The sequence below is a fragment of the Homo sapiens genome, chromosome 3 (genome assembly GCF_000001405.40).
Source record: "Homo sapiens chromosome 3, GRCh38.p14 Primary Assembly".
Taxonomy (NCBI): domain Eukaryota; kingdom Metazoa; phylum Chordata; class Mammalia; order Primates; family Hominidae; genus Homo; species Homo sapiens.
Genome location: NC_000003.12, coordinates 21,446,123 through 21,458,417, shown reverse-complemented (window position 1 = coordinate 21,458,417; position 12,295 = coordinate 21,446,123). Strand labels below are relative to the sequence as shown.

The following is a 12,295-nucleotide window of genomic DNA, read 5'->3' as shown; positions in this document are numbered from 1 at the left end:
GTCAACATCCTGGGCTCAAGCGATCCTCCTACCTCAGCCTCCCAAGTAGCTAGGACTACTGGTTCATGCCATATACCTGGATAATTTGCTTTTTTTTTTTTTCCTTTAAGAGTGATGAGGTCTCACTATGTTGCTCAGGCTGGTCTCGAACTCTTGGGCTCAAGTGATTCTCTTGCCTTGGCCTCCTAAAGTGCTAGGATTACAGGTATGAGCAACCGAGCCCAGCCCCTCTTCATCTGTTTCTTAACCTTGAGTTACATTTCCTAGGTTTTATATAGTTACTTGATGCCTGGGAGTTTAAATTCTTCTACAGTCTTTTTGCCCTGCATTGCTAGTTTTAATCTCAATATTTTTTTCAGCTGCTGAATGTTTTGTTGTTGTTGATTCTCTTAAGCATCTCAGGAACTTTTTTTGAGGACTGTATCACCCCTGTCTTTCTGACCTAGCAGAATAATAATGATAAAACAAGGGCTTGACAATAATGCCTTGATATAATTCCTGGCACAGCTTTCCAAATGTAGAAAATAATTTTCCACAATTATCTTAGCTAATTTAGCTGTTGGCCTTTGGAAACACAAGGGCTAGTGCAGAATTACTTGTGTGTAATTCTTAAATTAACTTATTAATCACATCTTTAGAAACTCTGTGGATCTTACAGCTGAGGTTTTAAATAAACATCCTGTTTTTCAGAGCATCATGTTAGTTTAGAGCTGGAAGGCTGTTGGAAATCATGTAATAAATTCGTCATTGAAAGAATTATAACCAGCCCGGCATGGTGGCTTAAGCCTGTAATCCCAGCACTTTGGGAGACCAAGGCAGGTGGATCACGAGTTCAGGAGTTTGAGACCAGCCTGGCCAATATGGTGAAACCCTGTCTCTACTAAAAATGTAAAAATTAGCTAGGCATGGTGGCATGCCCCTGTAGTCCCAGCTACTCAGGAGGCTGAGGCAGAAGAATCACCTGAACCCGGGAGGTGGAGATTGCAGTGAGCTGAGATCATGCCATTGCACTCCAGCCTAGGTGACAGAACGAGACTCATTCTCAACAACAACAACAACAACAACAACAACGACAACAACAAATAACCACTCTCCTTAAATCACCTAGTTATATCACACTTGAATGAAATGATGCAATAATTTTAAAGAGATGAAAAATTCTTTCCATACAAATGCCATCACACGCTAGTACTGGGTTTATTTTTCTGCCACCTCCTCCTACTGTTTATTCTTTCTTCCCAAGCATCACTTTATTTTCTGGGTTGTTTCATTCTCTCATTCAAGAAATATTTATTGGGAATCTATTATGTTTTGGTAACCATTCTAGACGCTAAGGATCAATAGAGAACAAAGCAACTAAAAAACCCTGCCCTTGTAGATTTTACATTCCAGTAGAGGGTCATCAAAGTTAACTAACCCTTATATTGTTATATATTACATAATATGTTTGAATGTGATAACTGCAATGGAGAAGAAAAAGGCAAGGGAGATAAAGGGGAATTGCAGGAATGGGTAGAAAGGTAGCAATTTTATCCAGAGTGATGGTGTACAACCTCACTGAGAAGGTGTTAGTCTTGAAGATGGTAAGGGGATGAGTAATCTGGCTATCTGGGGAAAAGCATTCCAGACAGATGGCAGAGGAAACTCAAAGTTTCTCTTTTTTAATTATTTATTTATTTTTTATTATACTTTAAGTTCTAGGGTACATGTGCACAACATGCAGGTTTGTTACATATGTATACATGTGACATGTTGGTGTACTGCACCCATTAACTTGTCATTTACATTAGGTATATCTCCTAATGCTATCCCTCCTTACTCCCCCCACCCCACAACAGGCCCCGGTGTGTGATGTTCCCCTTCCTGTGTCCAAGTGTTCTCATTGTTCAATTCCCACCTATGAGTGAGAACATGCGGTGTTTGGTTTTTTGTCCTTGTGACAGTTTGCTGAGAGTGATGGTTTCCAGCTTCATCCATGTCCCTACAAAGGACATGAACTCATCCTTTTTTATTGCTGCATAGTATTCCATGGTGTATATGTGCCACGTTTTCTTAACCCAGTCTATCATTGTTGGACGTTTGGGTTAGTTCCAAGTCTTTGCTATTGTGAATAGTGCCACAATAAACATACATGTGCGTGTGTCTTTATAGCAGCATGATTTATAATCCTTTGGGTATATACCCAGTAATGGGATGGCTGGGTCAAATGGTATTTCTAGTTCTAGATCCTTGAGGAATCACCACACTGTCTTCCACAATGGTTGAACTAGTTTACAGTCCCACCAACAGTGTAAAAGTGTTCCTATTTCTCCACATCCTCTCCAGCATCTGTTGTTTCCTGACTTTTTAATGAACACCATTCTAACTGGTGTGAGATGGTATCTCATTGTGGTTTTGATTTGCATTTCTCTGATGGCCAGTGATGATGAGCATTTTTTCATGTGTCTTTTGGCTGCATAAATGTCTTCTTTTGAGAAGTGTCTGTTCATATCCTTCGCTCACTTTTTGATGGGGTTGTTTTTTTCTTGTAAATTTGTTTGAGTTCATTGTAGATTCTGGATATTAGCCCTTTGTCAGATGAGTAGATTGCGAAAATTTTTTCCCATTCTGTAGGTTGCCTGTTCACTCTGATGGTAGTTTCTTTTGCTGTGCAGAAGCTCTTTAGTTTAATTAGGTCCCATTTGTCAATTTTGGCTTTTGTTGCCATTGCTTTTGGTGTTTTAGACAGGAAGTCCTTGCCCCCCATGCCTATGTCCTGAATGGTATTGCCTAGGTTTTCTTCTAGGGTTTTTATGCTTTTAGGTCTAACATGTAAGTCTTTACTCCATCTTGAATTAATTTTTGTAAAAGGTGTAAGGAAGGGATCCAGTTTCAGCTTTCTACATATGGCTAGCCAGTTTTCCCAGCACCATTTATTAAATAGGGAATCCTTTCCCCATTGCTTGTTTTTCTCAGGTTTGTCAAAGATCAGATGGTTGTAGATGTGTGGTATTATTTCTGAGGGCTCTGTTCCGTTCCATTGGTCTATGTCTCTGTTTTGGTACCAGTACCATGCTGTTTTGGTTACTGTAGGCTTGTAGTATAGTTTGAAGTCAGGTAGCATGATGCCTCCAGCTTTGTTCTTTTGGCTTAGGATTGACTTGGCGATGCGGGTTCTTTTTTGGTTCCATATGAACTTTACAATAGTTTTTTCCAATTCTATGAAGAAAGTCATTTGTAGCTTGATGGGGATGGCATTGAATCTATAAATTACCTTGGGCAGTATGGCCATTTTCACGATATTGATTCTTCCTATCCATGAGCGTGGAATGTTCTTCCATTTGTTTGTGTCCTCTTTTATTTCATTGAGCAGTGGCTTGTAGTTCTCCTTGAAGAGGTCCTTCACATCCCTTGTAAGTTGGATTCCTGGGTATTTTATTCTCTTTGAAGCAATTGTGAATGGGAGTTCACTCATGATTTAGCTGTTTGTCTGTTACTGGTGTATAAAAATGCTTGTGATTTTTGCACATTGATTTTGTATCCTGAGACTTTGCTGAAGTTGCTTATCAGCTTAAGGCGATTTTGGGCTTAGACAATGGGGTTTTCTAGATATACAATCATGTCATCTGCAAACAGGGACAATTTGACTTCCTCTTTTCATAATTGAATACCCTTTATTTCTTTCTCCTGCCTGACTTCCCTGGCCAGAACTTCCAACACTATGTTGAATAGGAGTGGTGAGAGAGGGCATCCCTGTCTTGTGCCAGTTTTCAAAGGGAATGTTTCCAGTTTTGCCCATTCAGTATGATATTGGCTGTGGGTTTGTCATAAATAGCTCTTATTATTTTGAGATACGTCCCATCAATACCTAATTTATTGAGAGGAAACTCAAAGTTTCTAAGGTGGGAGCATGCTTGGAATGCTTGAAGGAAAGCACAAAGGCCAGTGATGCAGTGTGGCTGTTACACAAGTAATGAAATGAAGGGTAGAAAAAGATAAAGTCAGCAAGATAATAGAGGACAAGATCACATAGGAACTTTGGCCACTGCAAGGAAATTTGCTTAAAAAATTATAGATATAAAATGCACATAATATAAAATTCACTATTTGACCATTTTAAAGTATACAAACAGGCCTTTACTATATTCACAATGTTATGCAATCATTGCAACTTTCTAATTCCAGAACATTTTCAGCACTGTGAAAAGAAACCTTTACCTCTTAATTCCCCCTTTTCTCCTTTCTCCCATTCCCTGGCAACCACTAATCTACTCTTTGTCTCTATGAATGTTCTTATTCTGGATGTTTCGTATAAATGGAATCATACAACGTGTGGTATTTTGTGACTGATGTCTTTCATTTGGCATAGTGCTTTCAAGGTTCATCCATGTTGTAACAGGTACCAGTATTGTATTTCTTTATATGATTGAATATATATTCTATTTATAGAAATACTACATTTTATTTATCCACTCTTCCATTTGGGTTGTTACTACCTTTTGACAATTATGAATACTGCTGCTATGAGTATACATGTATAAGTTTATGTTTATACATATATTTTTAGTTATTTTAGGTATATATTTAGGACAATCTCTGGGTCATATAGTAACTTTGTATTTAACTTTTTGAGAAGCTACTAAATTTTTCCACAGTGACAGCACCATTTTATATTACCACCAGTAACATACAAAGATTTCAATTTCTCTGCATTCTCACTGACACTAGTTATGTTGTTTTATTTTTAATTTAGTTTTTTATTATTATAGCCATCCTAGTGGTTGTGAAATGGTATTTCCCAGTGGTTTTGATTAATGTTGAGCATCTTTTCATGTGTGTATTGGATCATTTATACACCTTATTTCAAGAAATGTCTATTAAAATATTTTGCCCATTTTTTGATTGAGTTGTCTTTATATCGTGGATTTGTAAGTGTTCTTTATATATAATGGATATTAGACCTATATCAGATACATAATTTACAAATATTTTCTCCCATTTAATGGATTGTTTTCTCACTTTTTGGTAGTGTTTTTTTACACACGAAAAAACTTAATTTTGATGCAGTTCAACTTAGTCTATTACTTATTTTGTTCCTCATGCTTTTATTTCCATTTTAAGAAACCATTGCCTAATACAAGGTCACAAATATTTATTCCTATAGTTCTTTCTAAGAGCGTTATAGTTTTTCCTCCTACATTTAGGTTACTGATCCATTTTGAATGACATGCGGTGTGAGGCAGGGGTCCAACTTCATTTTTTTTTTTTTTGCATGTGTATGCTTATTTGTCCTAGCATCATTGTTGAAGAGACTATTCTTTTTCCATTGAATGGTCTTGTCACTCATGTTAAAAATAAATTGGCCATAAATGTATGGGTTTCCTTCCAGACTCTTAATTCTATTTCATTGATCTATGTCTATTCTTATGCCACACTGTTTTTATTACTGTAACTTTTTAGTAAGTTTTGAATTCAAGAAGTGTGATTCTTCTAACTTTATTCTCGAATCCTCTAACTTTATTCTTCTTTTTCAATATCATTTTGGCTATTTAGTACCCCTTTATTTTTATATACATTTTAGGTCAGCTTAGTTATTTGTATTAAAAACTCAGTTAAATATTTGATAGGGATTCCATTGAATATGTGGACTAATTTAGATAGTATTGCCATCTTAACAGTATTAAGTATTCCAACCATCAAACATGGGCTGCCTTTCCATTTACTTAGGTATTCTATTTTTTTCCAACATTGTTTTATAGTTTTCAGTATACAAGTCTTACACTTTATTGGTTAAATTTATTCCTAAGATTTTATTCTTTTTCATGCAATTGTAAGGGAAATTGTTTTCTTAACTTTAGATTGTTCATTGCTAGTGTATAGAAATTAGTTTTGGGGGTTCTTGTGGATATTTTAAGGTTTTCTATGTACAAGATCATGTCATCTATGAATAGAGGTAGTTTTACTTCTGCTTCTCTAATCTGGATACCTTTTATGTTTTCTCCCCCTCCTTAATAGTTCTGGCTAGAACTTTCAGTAGAATGATCAATAGCAGCAGCAAGAGTGGACATTCTTGTCTTGCTCTTGATCTCAGGGGGAAAGCTTTCAGTTGAACATTAGTTTTTACATGGGGCAAAATTGAGAGAACTGTATTTGGAGAACAGTGATGTGATCTAACCTCTACTTTGAAAGCATGTTGCTGCCTTTTTTATGTTTTAAATGATTACAGTTAGTTTGTAAACAGAAGGCTAGAAACCTTGGTAAATTTAATAAGTAGGTATTAGAAATCTGACATGGTACATTAAATTTAAATTGCCTAATGATATTGCTACACAAAACTGTTTAATGCATATGTCTCTATTCTAAGTGCTATAAAATTAGTCCAAAATTGAATATATAGTTTTCTAGTCATACACATAGTCTTAGCAATATTTGTGCAGAAATAAAAAATATATAATTGCTGCAATGTCCTATAAACACTATGCAATTTTTAATACTTAGCTCTTTACAATCAAAGACAATATTTTCTACCAGTTGGCAAAAATAAACCTTAAACAATCTTGATGCTGATAATGGCTTTGCCAATTAATAGCTATATGATTCTAGCAAATGACTTTATATCAATGAGCTAGTTTTCTCCTTTATAAAATAAGAACTTTAATGTTTTTCTCGTAGTACTATACTGAGGATAAAAACAGAGAAGTGGATACAAAATTTATTTGAAGATTAAGAAGGACTAAACAAATGTAGGAGGCTACTGTTATCTTGAACCTTTTAATTTTTTGTCATGCATTTGTTTTATTTTGTAATTATTTATGTTTGCCTTTGAGATAATGCATTGTTGTACCTGATAGCTGATTCATACAACAGTAATGATGTTTAGAATAAGGATCTCTAAAACTAGCAAGCTAGATTGTTGGACTAACTTGAGAGATCCACTCTATATGAAGGAAATTTTAAAACAGCAAAAAATAATGAGACATAAAAGTAGTTAAAGAAGTAGTCTTTATCTCATTTTGAGTGATGCGTAATCTATCATTTTAAGTGTGCTATGTAACATACATCTTGCAACATACACAGTAGACTACTTGGCATTTATTCATTGGCATGTTTCAGTGATATTTACATCAGAATTTATAAATCATCATTTTGGTGACACTTTTTTTATTAGCGTCTCAGAAATCTTAACAGGATATATTCTTCAATAGAAACAGAGTATCTGTGATGATAGTACCTTCAAAGATAGAGAAGAATTTCATCAAAATCGTATTGATTGGTTCGTCATATTGATCCATCTGGACTAACTGATAAAAATATCCTTAAAAGGAGAAGCTCACAAAATTTCTCTCCCTATAAATCTGTAACTTAAAAGGGGAAATAAGACATGTGTCTCTTACTTGTCTCTTTCCTTTCTAATTCTGTCTTATCTTGAAAAAAAAGTTAATAAGCAAATACAAATAATTTCTCTCATTCAGATCTATTCAACTTAAGTTAATTAAACTTCCAGGCTGAGGAAACATTTATTAACTCAGATTGACAAGTCAGCCAGAAAGGAAACTCTTACCAGTGTTGAAATTATGTTTTGACAGTTAGATCATAGTGGAATTTTTCTGAAGTTTTAAAGAAAAGCAAATAACTACTGAAATTATGGCATTGCAGTGCTAGAAATGCACATATCATGTGTTGTGTGAGACAAAATACATTTTTTTCAATGTCTAAGCATTCTTCAAGAATTCCTCCAACACTTAGAATTATGTGTGCGCTTGAATTATCTAAGTGAATTTATTTTGGTGAAAAGCATTGTATTTTTATAAAACTGAGTTCTATCCAGGGTTGTCTTGATGAGCTTCTGAGAAAAACTGATTTCACTGAACCAAATCATACAGTTCAACTCCATTAGCCAATCTGCCCAATCCTTCATCACTTTTCTTTTTCCCCCAGCAACTTGAAAAAAGTTTTTAATTAGCCTTCTCTGGAAATGTCCTCAATTAGGGATGACTTATGGGAGCAGATTGAAATCTTAAAGAGAGAAATACATACATACATTTCTTATTTATTCATTCTTTCATTCAGTTATTTATTTTGCTTTTACTGAGGTAAAGAATGGGCAATTTGAAGAAAAGAGGAGGAGGAAAAAAGAAAAAGCATGAGTCCTTGCTCTCTTTGCACAGTTTCCTAATGTGTGGTCCAAGAGCATAAAAGAAAGCACAAAGCCTCTAGATCCACAGCTACCATCCATTTCTTTGCCTCTCCTCCTCTCCTCTGGAGGTGCAGGTAGTGACCATGAGCACCCTCCTCAATAAAACCTTGACAGCCCTGCCCAAGGAGGTAAGGACTTCATGCTAAAAATAACTTGACAAGGTCAATACATTGTCTGCCTGCCATGGTCTCAGGCCAAGTCCTCAGATACCCTGGGACCTTTTTCTTCTCACCCAGCTTGCCTTCTGGCTCTGACTTCTTTCCCCAGCCCTGTGAATTGACTGTTGTGTCCTGGCTGTGATCTTGACCGCTTGGCAACAGCCTTTCAAGTATCAGGCTTGATTTGCCTCACACACTCTCTGTCCACTCAGACATTTGACTCAACACATTCAGTCCTGGACTGCTAGAATTCTTGGCCTGGCTTCTTACCTGGGCAAGAAGAATCTGCCAGTAAGGATGTGAACGAAATTAGTCTCACATCCATGATAAGGCTTTTTCATTGCTAGAGAAACATTTTCAAAATAACCTACTTTTGCTGTAAAACCCATTTATAGATAACATGATATACAAGAAATAAGATCTTATGTACCAAGAAAATTAACAATTTTAAAACATGACCTATGAAGCAAAACAATTTACTCACAGTGCTAGCTTTTAAATTTCACAGTTGGGTTGTTGTTAAAAGTAACAGAAATATTGATAATAAAAAACAGCTATACAAACATGTATCCTAAATAAAACAATGACTCTATTCTAAAGCTTAATTATGAATTATATTTTAAACATTATCTTATCAAAATTAATGGTGAAATATTAGAACTTCTATTTATATCAAATGGGCTCCAATACGATGTTGTGATTTAACTCTTACGTAACAAGATCCCAACGAGTGAAATGGAATAGAAATGCCAGCATCCTTTGAGAGGTCAGTCACATGGGACTAGATTTCTATTTTTTTTTTTTTGTAGCTATAAAAATACTGAGCATTTTACAGGATCAGAATGGCCAGTATAGATGGTTTCAGAGATAACACAGATTTATTTTGAGATTAATTCTTAGCATACTTTATTAATATAACTCTGCCGTAAAATATATTTAAAGTATTGAATTAAAAATTGATTGACAGAACTAACCAATAAGTCATTTTTTTCTTAAATATATACTTAAATAATTAGATTTATAGCTGCTTAATGCTAAAATAAACAATTTTTAAATGAAGCCTAAGAAAATAAAAATTGTTATTTCATATTCAGAAAAAAAAGAAAGATCGACTTTTTTAAATGTTTAAATTAGCGCTTTGATGAAATGGTGATACAATTACAATGAATGTATTCTCAAATGTGAAAAGAATAATACATAGTTTGGCAAATTTTGGTGCTGGGGCAGTTTGCTGTAGTTTGGAATTTCTGGAGCTGTGTGATAGCTAATGGGAATAACAGGAGAGATGATAAGTTTATATTTGGAATTTCATGAAAATCTAGTTTATGTGGTTTCTGGAGATAGAAAGGGAATCTTGGCTTCTTAGAAACAGGTCTGTTAGCTTTGCTGGGGAAGAGACACATTTGTTCCAGAATTGTATCGTATTATTTTCCAAACAGTTCTAACAATTTTTCAGTGGCCAGTCTTTCTGTAAATAATCTGTAGACTTTTGATTTCTCCTATTCTATATTTATTAGCATGTTTTCTCTGATTTTTATTTATCCTCCAGCTCTTAAAAAATTATCTTTGGCTGAAATATATTAACACAACATGGAAACTACTTTGAAGAGAGAAATTCTATCAAGAAATCATTGTGTTATGTGATGACCCCCATTTTTCTTCCTTCTTTGCAGAGAGAAAAATAATAATACATTGCTGTTTTGAGTGAAATGATGGGTAGTTTGAGTCTTAACTCAGCTTATAGTTGAAATTGAATGCTCAGGAGTTGCTGAAAGATTATTGGTTAAAAAAATGTTTTCTCAATTTTTGTAATTTTTCTCATTTCCTTTTCTATACTTCCATCCTCTTTGTCAACCATTTTCAATGATTTATCCAGTGGAATTTACTCCCTGAAAACTCCTTTTCTAGTCTCCTGAAATATGAAAAATCCTTTAATCTAGATGTCTGAGCAATGTGTTGTGGCAAGTGCATATCGGTTACATCATGGTAACTTTCTGGTGATTAAAACATTTTCTGCATAGCTAATCTATGAAATACTAACACTGTAATGAAAAATGCTAAGTATTATAACTCTTGCACATACAACAAAATGCCTGAGTCCAGATGGGATAATGTTCTAAATTATTTCCATACTCAATATTTTATCATTGCACCCTTTATTGTGGGAGCTTGTTTTCTTATCTTCAAGACAGCTCTACAGTACAAAAAAACTGAAGAGCTGGCTGTTATTTCTTCATTTTTATGGTATGTGCTGCCTAACAGGATTCTAGAGTGAGTATTTGTGTCCTAAATAACTTGGCTTGACTATCTTCACATTTTGCAGTCCCTACTCATTCTAAATTACCAGTCAGAGGTAAGCTTTCTCTCACTTTTCGTTCAACTTCAATTAGTAAAAGCTTTCAAGATTCATGATTTATCATGTCATAATTCCAACCGTTAGATATCGTGGATAGTAAGGACACATGACAAACCCTTACTTTTAACCTAAGGCACATGGCCAGCAGAAGGAAGGCCATTACTACATATGTTAAACAGATGAACTACCAAAGGCAATCACTGAAAAACCATACCTTGATTTCTTGCCAGATTTCAAACTGAGCTTTCCAATACACAGTTCTTCTCATTAATGAAACAGAAACTGTTACTGCAGCATGCAGTATTTTTTTCCTCTGAAAGCTCTTGGAACAGGGGTGCTACCATTCATAGATTTTGGAGGGCTTTTTTTTCATTCTGCCCTACTGGAGGAAAAATAAAATCTCTATTAGAAGCATGAAAAGGCAGTTTCCTAATCTAGTGGCATCCAAATCATTTAAAATGCCTTCGGAGTAAATTGAGTTTCTTTTTGTCTTCCTTTTCCTTTCCCTTTCGTAATATTTATCCAAAAGCTCACAAATTTTGATAAAACTCACCCATTTGTCTTGGTGCTTATCAGTTGTATGTACAATAGCCAGACCCACTCAATTAACTAGAACAAGGCCTAACAATCTTACCTTCTGATGAACTTAGGTTTGGATTAATTTATTTTGGCTTAAATTATATTTGGAGAGGATGAACTGTGCTTTATACTAAACATCTGTGAACAAAGTGGAAAATTAATTCCCCTAGAAATATACAAACTCTAATTTAGGGAGAGAAAAGTTTATTCTTACAAAAGAAACCCTGGTTTAACTGATCAATAGAAGGTTATTTAGGTTCCCACTAGTATTTTTCTCTGCTCCAAAGATCAGAATGTGTCTCTATCCTTCCTCATTTGTTATCAAAAAGTGCATCTCTCAAAGAAAAGTTTGTTTAGGCCAGGCACGGTGGCTCACGCTTGTAATCCCAGCACTTTGGGAGGCTGAGGAGGGCGGATCACCTGAGGTCAGAGATTGGAGACCGGCTGGCCAACATGGTGAAACCCCATCTCTACTAAAAATACAAAAATTAGCCAGGTGTGGTGGCACACCCCTGTAATCCCAGCTACTCAGGAGGCTGAGGCAGAAGAATCACTTGAATCCAGGAGGCAGAAGTTGCAGTGAGCTGAGATGGTGCCACCGCACTCCAGCCTGCATGATAGAGTGAGACTCTGTCTCAAAAAAAAAAAAAAAAAAAAAAAAGTTCATTGATTAGGTAGTATCTAAAATTTTTTAAAGAATTTTCTACTTTTTTCCAGGGTTCTCTTTTAGAGTAACTAGCTTCCCCTGGCTTGCCTGGGATGTGCCAATTTTAGCACTGAAAGTCCCATGTCGCAGGAACTCCCTCAGTTCCCTCAGGAAAACAAGGACACTGGTCACTCAATCTCTCATTTCCCTCTTCTTGCATTCATGACTTGCTGTTTAAATGACATTTAGCTTTAGAGCTGAGACCAGTTAATCTAAACCGGAAACTAATTGGCAGATCTGTCAGTGGTGGTTCTTGAAGTGTGGTTCTCAGATCAGCAGCAACAGCAATACCTGGGAACTTGTTAGAAATGCAAATATTC

General features: G+C 35.4%; 1 protein-coding gene across 19 annotated transcripts in view; it reads left to right on the top strand.

The window, feature by feature from the left end:
- The window catches only part of ZNF385D (zinc finger protein 385D), a 960,546-nt gene that overhangs the window by 914,346 nt on the left and 33,905 nt on the right, over positions 1 to 12,295 (top strand). The gene's annotated exons all lie outside the window — the stretch shown is intronic.